This window comes from Homo sapiens, chromosome 8 (genome assembly GCF_000001405.40).
Source record: "Homo sapiens chromosome 8, GRCh38.p14 Primary Assembly".
NCBI lineage: Eukaryota > Metazoa > Chordata > Mammalia > Primates > Hominidae > Homo > Homo sapiens.
This window is the reverse complement of record NC_000008.11, coordinates 98,231,917-98,248,391: the sequence shown is the minus strand read 5'-3', so window position 1 is coordinate 98,248,391 and position 16,475 is coordinate 98,231,917. Positions and strand designations below refer to the sequence as shown.

At 38.0% G+C, this 16,475-nt stretch overlaps 1 protein-coding gene and 1 long non-coding RNA gene across 10 annotated transcripts in view; one reads left to right on the top strand and one right to left on the bottom strand.

Annotated features, from left to right (window-relative positions):
• The window catches only part of NIPAL2-AS1 (NIPAL2 antisense RNA 1), a 72,899-nt gene that overhangs the window by 977 nt on the left and 55,447 nt on the right, over positions 1–16,475 (bottom strand). The gene's annotated exons all lie outside the window — the stretch shown is intronic.
• The window catches only part of NIPAL2 (NIPA like domain containing 2), a 104,410-nt gene that overhangs the window by 45,844 nt on the left and 42,091 nt on the right, over positions 1–16,475 (top strand). For all 9 annotated transcript variants that reach the window (NR_135747.2, NR_135745.2, NR_135746.2 and 6 more), the window contains exon 4: positions 12,178–12,237. Coding sequence is in view for 5 of the 9 variants with exons in the window: in NM_001321636.2 (NP_001308565.1) it covers positions 12,178–12,237 (60 nt within the window). In the remaining 4 variants the exon portion in view is untranslated. The remainder of the gene's footprint in view (positions 1–12,177; positions 12,238–16,475) is intronic.

The following is a 16,475-nucleotide window of genomic DNA, read 5'->3' as shown; positions in this document are numbered from 1 at the left end:
TCACTATGATTTGTAATTATTATCGTGTAGATAAATAAAATACCTTATTCTTTATAATGGAGCATACTTCCATGCCTCCAAAGATGGCTGATGGTTAAATTCTCTAAAATGGAGAAACCAATTCAAGAAAGGCTTTTTATTGTTCTCATCTATGCAGTGGCTAAATTTACAGAGAGCAATAAAGTAGGATCCTCACAGCTCATTTTTCATCTAATTAAGTAGCAATTACCCTTCAACTCCTTCACATATTCCCTACCAAAACACGGTGGAAAATAGAAGAATTTCCAAATAACCTACCAACACGAAATACATTTTAAAAACCAATACAGGAGTTTGTCAGAGGAAATGCTTAGCAAGCTAGATGTATATACGGTTTTCCATCTTCTTGCTCTGGCTTCAAAGCACTTGTGTTCTCTTGTTCATTAACTACAGAGAGGCCGAATGGCAGATTCCTTTCAGATCAACTGTGATTTGAGGATACGTTTTCTGGGAAACTATTAATATACCAGAAATCCAGTACAAAGAAATAGGTTAGATATTCTGTGGAGTTTGTAATAAAATTTCAAACTGCTGCTAATCCTTCTTGTCTCAGGTAAACCCTTGCTCAAGAGGCCTTCCCTGGCTTTCAGACTAAGGTAATTAAACAGACTTACTCTCTGCTCTCTTCACACCCTACGCAGGCCCTCCTCTCATCTGTGTGGTGCCGTTTTGTGAATTAGAAAAAGGGAGCCCTTTCTCAAAATACTTTATTTCTGTCTGTCTGCAAATGATTGTAATACATTAATTTTGTTAGAGCAGGACAATCTGGGACCATCTGTCAGAGAATTGTGCTGAGAAATACACAAATCAACAAGGTGTGAGATGCGGGTGGTGCCACCTCAGATGTGGAGACTCTCTGCATTGCAAAACTTACACAGCCCGCCCAACCACACACAGCAACCCTGCCCTACACTTCCCCTTTGGCACCTCTCAGCATGCGCACAATGACCTGTTTCATGTCCTTCCTCACCATTTAACTGAGACCCAGGGGACTGGTGACTGACTGTGTGTCTCGTTGCTTGACATTTGCCCTTCCTGGGAGAGCACAGCACGGGGAAATCACAAAATGCAGCCTGCAGAATTGGTTCAAATTTGAATTTTGACAAAACAAGGATAGGATGTTCCGTTCTAGGGTGTTGGAAGAGATAAATACTTGCTTAAAAGATTTCAATTCCTAATGAAGCACGGTGGTTAAACAGTTCATTGCAAGAGACTCATGAATATTCATGCTTGTGAACACTCATAGGTCTATAAGCCTGTCCTTTGGGGATTGAGTTCAGTTATTTGTGCATCTCCAAAGCGTGGGCTTACATTTAATGTTTTCCTTTTTCTGTTTATCCCCATGACTGTGATCTATGCTATGCCTAAACATTTAGAGATGATTAAAAACAATGAAGTTATCAACAATCCAAAGAATTGAAGCCACATGGAATTAAATAGCTTCATGGCAGACTTCTCTCAGTATAAAATTAACTTGTCTATGGGGCGGCAAGGAAGTGGGATATGGAGGGAGATCATTGCAGGGGCAAGGAGGGAGGGAGGGAGAAATAGAATGTGATGGAAGCACCGGTGACATTTTTCAGTTCTATGCCTCTGAGTATATTGATTAAAAGTAACTAGAAAAGAGTGCAAGAACATATCAGCTTTTTCCAAGTTAAATTCGGGCAATACTTTAGACAAAGTAATAAAGGTAAGAAACTAATATTGAATGAGCATCCACTATGCCAGGTATGAGACACATAAACTCATTACCTCAATCATTGCCCAGCTGAATGGAAATGAGTAATAAATAGATTGACTTTGGGATAAATTATATTAAATTAAGCACTTGAAATTTTGTATGGAAAGATAATAGCAGCAAGATCTCCATGGCCCTAGAGTAAGTTCCTAAGAGAAGTAGTCGCACTGTTACTGAGCTAATTTGTATTAAGGTTGGAGAGCTAACTGCACTGAGAAAATGAGGAGAGCATGAGTCTGATAAGTCTTTTCCATCTCTAATTTTCCCCAATATGCTGGTTTTTGCTCAAATCAAAATTCATGATGTGGAATACATGTTGTTTTGTGTATTTCTGTGGTGCTGTTATGAAGCCCTAAACTGAAATGTATCTGTAATCCATTAGACGACGGTCATAGCAGAGCCAGGAAGCCCTGGTGAGGCCTTTTGGAATTCCAAAGAAATCATGTCAAGGAGAAACTTTGGTCTCCAAGATTTTTATTAGAAACAAATGAAAGGAAACATAAACAGACCAATGAGCAAGTGACCCATAGCGTTACACAAACCTAGATGCTGCGAATTCTCTTTGTCCCTTAGAGCAGTGTGCTTACTGCCAGCCTGGATGAGGTCACCGGAACTCTAAAACCTCACAGGATGCCTGTGATAGTGTCACTTCACACGGACATTGATTTTAATGTTCAAGATATGCAGAAAATATCACTTTTCTTAGTGGCTTGATGAGTTATCTGCTTTTGCGTGTTTGTCCAAAAACCAGCCTACATAAAATGTGTGAAATAAAACTCTGAAGTTTTAATCTATGTCTGCTCATATACGCTCAGCAGAAAGCATTCCTGAAGCCTAAACACTTTATTTGAAACATCTTTTCCACTCATCCTTATTTTTTCAGCATGCCACAAGAGTATTTCTAGAGAGGCTGCTAATGATGAAGTAACACACAATTAAATTTGTAATACAGAATTAATCTAGTCAGTGGTAGTATTTTTACTTTTTTGGAGTCTTTTCAACTTTAACATTAACGCATGCCAAGAAAAATGTAGAAAAGAAAGGATTATTGTTCTTAATCCAGGTAAGTTCCCTCGTTTGAAATTATGCAAATTGTCTCTGAACGACAGTTCCTTCATTATCTTCAGTAAATGACAATAGCAATTTTTTTAATCAACATGAATTACTTGACACTTTTCTTCCTGCCAACATGAATGGTAGAACTTTTCCCGCTGTAAGATGACATTTTTCAAACTGACATATCCTCAGATATTCAAATCTTAATTCCATGGAATACATTGTAATTGACATACCTCTTTTCCTAAAGTTCTACAACTAACGGGGAATGATAATTATGTAGTAGTACCTCAATATGGTTAGAGTTGACTCTGCCTGTGAGCACGCTCGATGTGTCCACGTGTTTGGAGCTTGATTGTGACTGACATGAAAGTGTTTTTGTGGTTTGCTTTTTAGCAGTACAATAAAGTTGCCATTATAAGTGGTCAGAAACCACAAGCCAGATATTTACATGTGAGGTTCTGTTTGTAGCATTATTATGTAAATATGTTCTTTTCATGTCATGGGTTATTTTCTTTTTATAAGAGAGAGTTTTCCTTAGTGTTTTATCTTCTATTTTCCTATATTATAAATATACATCCTGGTTTCTCTTTATATCACAGAGATGACGTAATAAATTGAATGTCCAGGAAATGAAAATGGATGAAATTTTTATTTGTAGGCTAGATTAGAGTTCACAAACTTGCCTGTAGACCAGAGTTGGCCCATGTTTTGACTGGCTCAAACAATGCTTTTAAAGAATACTAATTAATTTCCTATGGGTAAAAATTGGACAATAACACACACACAAAACTGAATTTTTGGCTAAAGAATCAGATTTGGTAGTGCTGGATTTGCAGTTGGCTAAGGCTGATTCAGGAGTGCCACCTTTCACTGATCTTGAATAGTTCACCACGGCCCCACAGCCCATCACCACCATGGCCAGCACCCCCCATCACCACAGCCCACCCTCTCATCACCACAGCCCACCCTCTCATCACCACAGCGCACCCCCCTTATCACAGCCCACCCTCTCATCATCACAGCCCACCCCCCTTATCACAGCCTACCCGCTCATCACCACAACCCACCCCCTCATCATTACAGCCTACCCCCATCACCACGCCCACCTCCCTCATCACCACAGCCCACCCCCTCATCATTGCAGACTACCCCTCATCACCACGCCCACCCTCTCATCATTACAGACTACCCCTCATCACCACGCCCACCCTCTCATCATTACAGACTACCCCTCATCACCACGCCCACCCTCTCATCATTACAGACTACCTCTCATCACCACGCCCACCGTCTTCATCACCAGAGCCCATCCCCCTTATTACTGTGGCCCACACCCCCCTCATTTTTTTTTTTGTCTTCAGAGGATTACCTTAAAGGCCCTTATAGGCATTTGAGTTTGTAACCTGTCAACCAAACGTTCTTTTTCTCCCCAGCTGAATCAGATAAGAATATCATATCCATAATCACATTTGAGTAAAGTATAATTAATTGATTGTCTTAGCTTTGGGTTAGATTTGTCTTTAAGAAGTGATAATAAAGGGTAAAAAAACAGAAAGAAATAAACAAAGTGAACAAAATCATTTAAAAATAGCCATGCCCTAAACATTGAAACAGTTATTGAACAGTCTTATGTACCATTAAGCTTTTAATAAAAAATTATTATTTTAGGGGAAGAGAGTTTAAATAAAAAGCACACATATGTCTTAATGTTACAAATTTAAAAAGGGAATGCCCATTTACCTCTTATTCTACAGACACAGGGTTCTAAACTGACATGTAAAAATCTGCCCTTGAGCTAAATTGCTAACAGAGAAGTTTGGTATTTAACTTCTCATTTATTAATCCACATTAGTAGCTATTACAGAAGAACCTCAAACCAAGTATTTACAACTTTTCTGAATACTCATGCATCAGGTTAATTTATGGTTGGCTTTTTCTCTCTTGTGGCCTGCTATGGGTCTTAGAGCATCAAGTAACTCTTCCATAATAAGAGCTGGTCTTGGACCGAGTCTCATAAACTGAAGGATTTCAGAGAGTAGGTGAATGAAGGACAAACCGAGGGTTGATTCCTAAGTAAATCAAGAAGCACGAGGAAGTGCAACACCAAGACACATACCTCGCTCTGGGACTGGCACCCTCCCCCACATCTAGACATGGTTTGGAAGGCACCGGAAACTTGCTTGGCCTTTATTTTATCTATTTTCATCTGGAAACCTGAATCCAAATGCCCAAGTGTACGTTTCCTTATATGAACCTTGAACAGAATGAATCTCCATTTTGATTGCCAACCTAAGTGACACTTAATAGCCAAAAGAACAGATGACTCACCAATAGGAGTCAGTCCACAGTCAGCAGTCAGCAATTGCTGCTGAAAAGCTTCCTTAAAGCATTAGAGCTTCAAGGGCAACTGGATGCATTAAATACATTAGACTGCTCCATGGAGGTACCATTTTGCACCAAAGGAAACACTAGAAGAAGGTTGCATGTCCTTTCCCCTTACGGATAGTATTCCTGCTGTCTTCCTCCGCCCTGCCCCCCATGACTCCTACAGAACCACCCTTTGGGTTTTGGCATGTTATCTTTTCAAACTTTTTTATTTTTTAACGTAATTTTTAAAATTGTTTTAATTGACAAATAATTTTATATGTTTATGGGGTACAGTGTGGTGTTTTGATAGTTGTATATGCTGTAGAAACATTACATCAGGCTAATTAACATATTTATCATCTCATCGACTTCTCATTTTGTATGGTTAAGAATATTTAGGCAAAAGACCGGGCGCGGTGGCTCACTCCTGTAATCGTAGCACTTTGCGAGGCCAAGGCGGGAGGATCACGAGGTTAGGAGCTCAGAACCAGCCTGGCCAATATAGTGAAACCCCATCTCTACTAAAAATACAAAAATTAGCCGGGCATAGTGGTGGGCTCCTATAGCCCCAGCTACTCAGGAGGCTGAGGCAGGAGAATCGCTCGAACTTGGGAAGCGGAAGTTGCAGTGAGCTGAGATCGCCAATGCACTCCAGCCTGGGTGACAGAGCCAGGCTCAGTTAAAAAAAAAAAAAAAAAAATCTGTCAGGTGCAGTGGCTTTTGCCTGTAATCTCAGCACTTTGGAAGGCCAAAGTAGGAGAATCAATTGAGCCCAGACGTTTGAGACCAGCCTGGGCAACATAGTGAGACTCTGTCTCTACAAAAAAAATTAAAAACTAGCCAGGCGTGTTAGTACACGGTATTGCCTATAGTCCCAGCTCCTTGGGAGGCTGAGGTGGGAGAATCACGTGAGCTCAGGAGGTCGAGGCTGCAGCGAGCCATGGTTGCGCCACTGCACTCCAGCCTGGGCAACAGAAGGAGACCCTGTCTCAAAAAAAAGAACTTTTAAAATCTACTCTTTTAGGAATTTTGAAATATGTATCACTATTAACTGGGTCACCATGCTGTGCAATAGATCGCTAAAACTTATTCCTCCTGTCTAAAGGAAATTTGATAAATTGGTATATTATCAATGGTACATTACCTTTTGCCTTTTATGCCATGGTATACCAATGGTGTATTACCTTTCACCTTTTATTTTTTTAATGCATTATGGCCATTGTGGTCTAGTGCCTGACTCTGGAGTCACTGTGTGACATTGTGTAATAAACTTAAACTCTCCAAGCCTCAGCTTTTTTATCTGTAAAATGAGTATAACAATGCCAACTATCTCATTGAGACGCTGGGAGGATAGAAAGAGTTAATTATTCCGTGTCAAACCCTTAATAAGTAGAATATTCAGCCACCCTTATTGTGTATATATTTTCCTGTCATAATCATTGTATAAATATAATTTTCTACCTCTTTTAACATAATAGCATAAAATTATCAATATCACTGTGTAATTTTCCATAATAATTTCTATTAGCTGCATAATATCCTACTGATTATTGCTGAACGTTTAGATTATTCCAGTTTTCCACTATGAAAAATAATTTTGCAATTGACACCTTTAGGCTTGAGACTCTCCATTTTTTGGAATACTTCCTTAGGACAGATTCACAGATGCAGAATTACTAGATCAAAGAATTTGAATAGTTTGATGCTGTTGATAGATATTGTAAAATCACTCATCAGAAAGTTTCTATCAATTTACAGTGACTCTAGCAATGTGAGGGAGTACTGACTTTACTTCTTCCTTGTCAATACTCAGCCTTAAAATTGTGTGTGGAAAAGAGCACCTGGCTCTAAATTATCTTTATTACTGATGATTTGGACTTTCCCCTATGTGTTTGTCTACTCTCATTTGTGAATTACTTGTGTTCCTGCCCATTCATTTATCCACTGGGGTTGTGTTTCTTTGCATACTGGTGGGTATACCTGTTCACACATATCATCACTAAGTAAAGAAAAGATGCTGTGTCAAATCTTGGTGTTTTCAGTTATACCTACACACATAGACCATGGTCATCTTGGAAAACAGAGGACCTGTCTCTTTTCCCTCAAATACTCAAAGCCACCTGGGAAAACACAAAGAGCACAGCTTGGTCCATGCACTCTTATTTCTAGTAACTGACTGTTTATAAAATGTTCAAGCAAGGAGAATAATTAGAAAGGACGAAGCACAAATGCTTCCTTTCACCGGTTGAGGAAATAAAACCGAGGCTAGCACATTAACATGTGCTGTATTCCATAGCTGGTTCTGGACAGAGCAACACTCAAACCCAGGTGTTCTACATCCCAGCCCAGCACCCGGCCACCTAGGCAGTATTGTGGAACTTCAGTTCTTCAACAGGACCTTCTTCTTTTCACCTGGAGTGATACTCTGAGTAACAAAACAGTAGGGAAGTCTTTTTGGCTAATTCCTGTCCATATTCCACTTCCCAGCATTCTCATGAATCAGCCTTAGCCTTTCCAATAGAGCATTTCCTTAAGAATAATGAAGTAAGGATGAGTTGAAGACAGCTCAGCTCAGATTAGACCCCCTTTTGCAAATTTTATATATCGGCCCCAAGATAAGATGATTCTTGGACAACTGCAATAGCACCATCCGCCATCACTTGTTGATAAGCTTGTAGGGAAAGGGTGTCACATTTTATAAACATCTCCCACCTGCCAAGAATAACAGTTCACTGACTATGGGCAGTGAGTTTTGGCTGGGAAAATAGCCTGTCTGAATCAGGGACATTTTATTAACCTGCTAGGACTATTGTGTGCTTAGGAGAGCCCGCATCTTCCTCCTGGTTTTTCTTACATCAGTTTTCCCCCCGAAAAAGTACTTTTTAATAAAGCACCAAGATCAGTGAGCACTCTCTGTAGACCCATGTCTTCTGAAGGCCAGAGGGAAAAGCATTCATGAGTCTCTGCCCAAACATGTCTCAAACCAAAAATGCACACACAATTGATTGCTTAAGTAAATATCCAGTCATAACTATGGTTTAACCATAACTAGTACAAATCTGTTTAATTTACAGCTATGTTCTGTTTTCATGCTTTTTAAGTGATTAATCTTGAAATGCTCTATTTTTGAATATTAAATTTTACTATAGGAATAAAAGTATAATAGATTTTCCCCTTTTCTAGGTGTTCATTAGGCAATGGTTATTGTGATAGCAACTACTAGAAAGTGTTGGGCTTGATAGACCTCTGATTACAAACATATATGCGAGTACTTCAGTTGATGTTTTTCTCATTTGAAAAACTTACTACTCTACTTAAAAGTCATGTTATTAGCTGTTGCTCAATACTGCCTTTTTGCTCAACACAGCTCTCATTTTAGCATATTTGCAAGATAAATGAGTTGAAAGTAAATGTATCTTAATAGAATGTTCTTTTTTTCTTGCCTTTTTTACTAGATAAATAAAACTAAAAAATCTTGTTCTATTACCTAAAAATTTTGTAGAAAATCTCAAGTTCTCTTAAAACAGAAAAAAAATGTTATTGGCTGAATGTGGAAGTGCATTAGACTTCTATTATCTTTCAGAAAGGAAGAGTAGCATATTTATGTTTCATAAAATTCTGACAATTGTTTTATAGCAATTGATATAATTTGATACAAGTAGTGTATTTCCAGTTTTTTGTTACCAATCATGTCCTTTTTGCTTTTAGCAATGAAATTATTTCCCATATAACATTTTCCCCTCCTCCTTCTGAAAGTAAATGTATTTATGAAACTGTGGCTTGGCAACAAGAAAAGTAAAATGATGTGTTTTCTTACTTCAAGGGAGCCAATGGGGTATAGTGTACTAGAAAGAGCTCTGGACTGAGAGCAAGGAAATATGAGTGCCAGTTCCAGCTCTGCTGTAATGTAAATGTGTTTTAAATGGATGGATCAGTGAATAGACAAACAAATTCTTTGGACCTCAGTTTCCCAATTATCAAGTTTAGAACCTGGAGTAGATTATGTCTATGTCTCCTACTACCTTAAAATCTCATTCCATGTAAGCAATGTTTCCCTTCTTACTATAATCCTTTGTAGTGAAATGGTCATTTCAAGGATTGTTATAATGGAACACATTTGGTATGTGTTAATGTAGCGACACTTCACCTATTTTTTATTGCTAATCGATCTCCTACTTAGAAACATCCCTTACTTAATTACACAGGAAGTCTGTGATTGGAGGGTGGGGTAGGGGTTTGGGTTTTTAATACCTTTTCTCATGCTCTACCATGGGAAATTAGTTTCCCTGGATTATTTTGGCCCAAATCTGAAATAGAAAATTTGCATACATTTTCATACCTATCCCAAATTCATTTCTTACTTTAATGAGCCATGTAGTCATGCATTAGTTTATCTACAGAAAACCTTGCTTTAATGTTTTAAAACCAAAACACTCAAACTCATGCTTGATGAGCATTTCCCATGCCTGGTTTACCCTGTGTGAAACTTCCATTCCTGTAAGTAACCTGCCCGGGAAAAGTTTTGAAGGACAAAGATCAACCAGAATGAGAAAAAGCTAAGTTGAGGAAAAAAAAAAAAAGGAAACAAATAGCATCTCATCTTATCCTGCATGAGGGTTTCTGGTGTGGACTTATTTTGTTTTCAATAAATTGCCGGAACATCAGATATAGTCACATTCAAATTTAACCACAGCATCTGTTTAATGGATTATTATACCAACATTAAAATTATGTCTATGAAGAATTCTTGATGACATGGCAAATTGTAATGTGTTAACTGAGGAAACTGAGAAAGGAAATTTGATATTAAAGTTTGATCTCAACTGAAGGGAAATAAAAACACCAATATATTAACTGCAATTTTCTTTACAGGATGATATTATTTTATGATAACTTTTCTTTCCTGTACTTTTACTTTTAAAAAACAACCAGCAAATAGTTTTTGTTAAAAATTTACAGCATATATTATGTTGCATATCTTTTTGTATTATTGCAATTTTGGATTTTCCCATGCCTATACTCATAAATGACCCCATAACAGGGACAACTCAGAGAGGTTCAGTTTAACCCTGGTACCTGAGGCGACAGTAGCAGACGATGGCTCGACTGTGAGGGAGAGAGTCCAGTAGTGTCACTAATGGGAAAGAGAACAACTGCAAGGCTGAGATCCCATACTCTTTCATTTCATTCAATGAGCATTTATTGAACACCTTTTATGTGCTAGATACAGCTACTCACTGGAGATCTTAGAAGAATAAAAAGACATATCTCAGATTAAAAGGAACTGATGGTCTTTCGGGGAAGACAGGCAAATAAATCTTAGGTGTAGTGAAAAAGCTATACACAGGGGTAATCAGAGCATAAGGGTGGCGGGATCAGCTCAGCCCAGGGGAATCCAGAGGTGACACTTGAGTCTAGAGCTGGTCACAAGGACAGGGCAGAGCTGGACATGTAAAAGCCATTAAGCATGAAACTGCATGGTGGATTCTGGGAATTATAATTACTTCAGTAAAGGTGGGCTACAGATTATCAAATAAAGACAAATGTGGTGACCAAAGCATCAGAAGCAAAATCATAGCTCTTTGAGTGTTCTGCTTGGTAGTGTGGCCTTTGTCCTGTAGACCAGCCACTTAGGGGTTTGAAAGCAGTGGATTTACATTAGATTTGCATTTTAGAGCGATTACTCTGGTGGTGGTATGGGGAAAGGGGAAAAGGGGGAAATGGGAGGTCAGAGGGAAGCTAAAGGTCTAAGCCAGAGAAGCTGCCCTGAGCTTGGGATAGGGCTGGTGATCACAGGAATGAAGAGTTGGGAACAGACCTAACAAAGAGTGAAATAAGGCTGGTTGCGGTGGATTACGCCTGTAATCCCAATACTTTGGGAGGTCGAGGCAGGAGGATCACTTGAGCCCAGGAGTTTGACACCAGCCTGGGCAACATAGTGAGACCCCATTTCTAAAAATAAAAAAATTTTTAATTAGCTGGGAGTGGTGGCATGAGCCTGTGGTCCCAGCTACTCGAGAGGATCACTTGAGCCTAGGAGTCCAATGTTGCAGTGAGTTATGATCTTGCCACTGCACTCCAGCCTGGGCAACAGCGCAAAACCCTGTCTCAAAAAAAAGAAAAAAATAGAGTGGACTATAGATTTAGACCCAGTGACCTGTTGGATGTGGATCGTCAAATAGAAGAGAAATAGGAGCAGTCCTGGGATTCTGGTGTTAAGTAGATACAGGAATTGTCGGAACAGGAATTATAGGAGGAGATGCTGGGAAATCATGAGTTTCAGTTTAGCACATATTTAAAGTTCTTCCTGTCCTTTTTTTTTTTTTTTTTTTTTTTTGAGACAGGATCTCCTTCTGTCACTGAGGCTTCAGTGCAGTGGTGCCATCATGGCTCACTGCAGCCTCAACCTCCCAGGCTCAAGAAATCCACCCACCTCAGCCTCCCCAGTAGCTGGGACTACAGGCCCACGCCACCATGCCCCACTAATTTTTTGTATTTTAAGTAGAGATGGGGTGTTTCACTATGTTGCCCAGGCTTATCTTGAACTCCTGGACTCAAACTCCTCCCAAAGTGCTGAGGCTTACAGGCATGATCCACTGCACCCTGCCCCATCCTTCTTTCTTTCCTTCCTATCTCTTCCTGTCTTTCTAATCCTTCCTGCTCTTTCTGCCCCTTCCTGCTCTTTCTGCCTTTCTTCTTTCTTTCATTTGTTCTGTCTTTTAGCAAACTTTTATTAAGCCTTCACTATATACAAGACACTGTCTCAGCCACATCCATTGTAAACCACACCAATTTCCACATATCCTCAGCCACAGGGGGAAGAAAGGCCTTTTTATAGCCACAACTGCTGAATGTCTCTGATCAGGACATAGCTCATCAGGCATAAGGCACAAATTGCTTAACTTCTTTCAAATGGCATTGCGTAATAGACACTTTTATATTGGAACTACCACTAATGGCCATTTTCTTTATAGGTAGTGCCATTATTTCTGTTACATTTCTGAAAGACAATTTGAGAGCCTCAGACTTACTCGGTAAGTAATTATTTAATTCATGTAATTGTAGCATTGCTTGATCAGGAAATAAATAATACAATCCATAAAAAATATGTGCGATAAAAACTGGAAACAAATTACTGAAATGGGTGTAAGTCTCATTTAGAGTCAGGCATTATTCTGTCTTGGAGCTGCCATCTCTTCTCGCATAAAATACTTCCATTTCTATTGTGACTACTGCTAAATGTGATCAATTTTTGCTATAGCAAATTATTAATTAATAATTATAATGAATTATTATAAAATAATTTATGATTATAATATTAATCAGTTGAAGGGATTATATTATTATAATGCACTGAATTATAATTTCATAACATTTTATTATTATAATAACCCATTAAAATACAAATACTTTAGGCACTTTAAATAAAACAATGCCTCCCTTCTTCCAGGGAGATCATATTTTTTTTAAAATTTGAGCTCTAAATGTGACACTAGTGTTGGTATGTTGAGCATTTGTATATTTTATAATGGGTTATTATAATAATATTAATGTTATAAAATTTTATGAACACCATAAAATTCAATGAAAACATTTGTGTTACCTAATAGACTATTACACTCCAAAGGATATATTTGTTATATTGTTACACGAAAGTATTGCATAAAAATGAAAACCACAAAAAATTTGATGCATCAACTAACTAAAATTTATATTTGGCTTTTCCCAAAAGTAGCACAGACCATTGTTCTTAAATATTTTATTTGGAAATACAGTTATTAATGGAAAATGACAGTAGCCTTCCTGGCTGTAAGAAACATTTCTGATGTATGGCAAAGCCATCACTTATGTGTTGAATTTTCCAGCTATTGTTGGACATATCATTGGTGAGAAGAATTATAGAGATTCATATTTTCTTCCGTGACAAAATCCTGTTTGAATTGCTGCTGACATATGATAATGAATACAAATACTTTAGGCACTTTAAATAAAACAATGCCTACCCTCTTCCAGGGAGATCATATTTTTTTTAAATTTTGAGCTCTAAATGTGACACCAGTGTTGGTATGTTGAGCATTTGTTTTCCCTGATCATGTTTCCCTTGAGCGTAATGTCTTGAAAATGTTTTCTCTTTTTCTTTTCCTCCTTGGTTTGATTCTGCTAGCAGAGTTTTTAGTCAACATTGTCAAATTTTTCATGGTTAAATGTTTTTCTAAATGCATTCATATGTGGATTCTATCTCTTCCAACATATTATTTTTCTATACCCTTTTTTATATATTGTGGTTTGTAGAATCATTTGGGGAAGTTGTATGGACTCAGAAATAAGAATGGCCAATGCCTGATGCAGTGGCTGATGCCTATAATCCCAGCACTTTGGGAGGCCGAGGCAGACGGATTGCTTGAGTCCAGGAGTTCGAGATCAGCTTGGGCAACATGGCAAAACCCCGTCTCTACTGAAAAAAAAAAAAAAAAATAGACAGGTGTGGTGTCATGCACTTGTAGTCCCAGCTACTTGGGAGGCTGAGGCAGGAGGATCACCTGAGCCTGGGAGGACGAGGCTGCAGTGAACCAAGATTGCACCACTGCACTCCAGCCTGGGCAACCGGAGTGAGACTCTATCTCAAAAAGAAAAAAAAATGACCAATACCTGAGTTTTATAAACTAAAAATTAGGTCCTAGATATATTATTTTTCTCATTTATCAAGTGGCTTAAGGGAACTTTAAATCCTTTTATCTAATATCTGTCACCTTTTATAGTTAATGATTGAATAATGATCAAATTAATCTAAGGTATTTAATGAGAGAATGCAGATATAAAGGGGGATTTGCTGACTAATCTTGAATATTAGTGATAAATGATAATTAAGACAGAATCCCCGTCCACAAGTAATTTATAGTCCATGATAATATAGATTCATAAATAGGTTTTTTTTTAAGTAGAAAAGAATATGTGCCATAATGTCATGAGTCTTTAGTTTAGAAGTGTTTCTGAATCAGCATTGCTGACATTTGGGGCCAGATCATTCTTCATTGTAGGGGCTGCCCTGTGCACTGTAGGATCATTAAGATCCCTCCTGACCTTTACCCACTAGATCCCTCTAACATCCTCCCACTCAGTTATGACAACCAAAAATGTCTCCAAACATTCCAAAATGTCTCCTAGGGGACAAAATTACTCAGGTTTAGCCCTGTTCTTCTCTAGCTGAGAAGATCAGAGAGAATTTTTTACAGCAGAGATAACATTTGAATTGGTTCTGACAGCTGGGCAGGACAGGCATAGGCTACATCCAATAATTTGGAGGAGGACATACAGAGGGAATAACATGAGAAATGTTAACAAAGATACAAAAAGGTAAAGTAAGTTTCTATTTCATACTGCACCTTAACTCCTGCCTGTAAGGCTTAGGAAAAAATAAATGCAAGTTGTAACTATGGAAAGGAAGAAATAAAAATATCAATATGTACAGTTTATTTTCTTATATACTTAGAGAACGCATGATCAACCAAACATTACCAGAAGCAATAAACCAGCTCTCAACATTAAAGGATCTAAATTAAACTGACTCTCATAACTTCAGATCTGGATTCAACTCTGGCTATCAACTGTACAGGCAACCTAGTATTACTTAACTTCTCTAAGCCTCACTTTTCTGGCAAATATGTAAGACAGTTTTGAAGATCACATTAAATAATTCATATATAAGTACTTTGAAAAATGCAAAGCTTTGTCAATATAATTGTCATAATTTCTATTACCACCTTCATTGCTGAGAGATTCCTAAGAGGTAATACTAAAAATGTAATATAAGGAAGGGGAAAACACACACACACACACACACACACACATCAAGAAAACAAACTAACAAAATAAAACCTTTAATTAATTATTTGGGATTCTTTGCTAATTCCTCACCTTTTTTTTTTCTTTTGAGATGGAGTCTCGCTCTGTTGCCCAGGCTGGAGTGTAGTAGCGTGATCTCAGCTTACTGCAACCTCCACCTCCTAGGTTCAAGCAATTCTCCTGCCTCAGCCTCCCAAGTAGCTGGGATTACAGGCATACACCACCACGCCCAGCTAAATTTTGTATTTTTAGTAGAGACAGGGCTTCACCATGTTGTCTAGGCTTGTCTCTAACTCCTGAGCTCATGATCCACGCACCTCTGCCTCCCAAAGTGCTGGGATTACAGGCATGAGCTATCACGCCTGGCCTAATTCCTCATCTTTTAAAAGCAGCTAAAATTTATTAAACATTTACTCTTGCCAAATACTATGTTAAGTGTTTTGCATGGATTATCTCATTTGAATGTAGGAACAATCCATTTACAGAAGCAAAATCTGATACTTAGCAAGGTTAAGTAACCTGCCCAAGGTCATATAACTAGTACATGATAGACCAGTATCCTAACAATGGCAATCTGGTATAGCTATAGTATAAAGTTAGGGTGAGTCTTTAGTATCAGAAAGCTATTATGTAACCTTATATAACCTTTCTCTTTTTTCTTTTTTAAGACCACACTAGAGGAACCTTATGTAACCTTTGCCAAGTTATATAAATAAGCTTTTTAAGCCTCAATTTTCTAATCTTTAAAATAAAGATAATATTACATACCTCACAGGATTAAATGAGTTCATATATGTAAAACTCTAACAACAGGGCCTATCACATAATGTGTTCAATAATATTAGCTATAATTGTCATTATTACTACTACCACCATCACCCACCACTGTACTCTACTAATTAATCAGAGGAAACCTAGATTAGGACATTTTTGCAAACTTTAGTAATCCAGGTAACCTTTCCCACAACTCTGATTGGGTGCTCTGTTTTGTTTTTTCCTACCTAACTTAATGCTTTTGGAGTAGGGCTATGTAACTCATAAGTCACATTTATTTCATACCATAATTAAACGTGACCAATTTTTGCCTTTAATCTAGTGTCATAGGAATGAAAAAAGGATTTAGTCACCTATTCTATACCCTTGCCTCCAACAAGCGATATCCTAAGATTATCATCATCTGAGATGTCGTAACCCACTTCATATTTACGGAAGTCCAAGGAAGGACTTTTCCCCAACCCCTCTCAGAAATGTGTCAAGTCACATGTATTTTCTTTGAGCCTTTGTTGCCGTTGCCTTGAGAAAATGTAGCTTTTTCTGCTAAAAGCAAAAAAAAAATTTTTTAAAAAAAGCATCTTTTTCTTTATAGGGACTAAAACCAAACAGGTAAAAGAGTAGTTAGTGGTGTTTTTTAAAGATTAACATATGAACA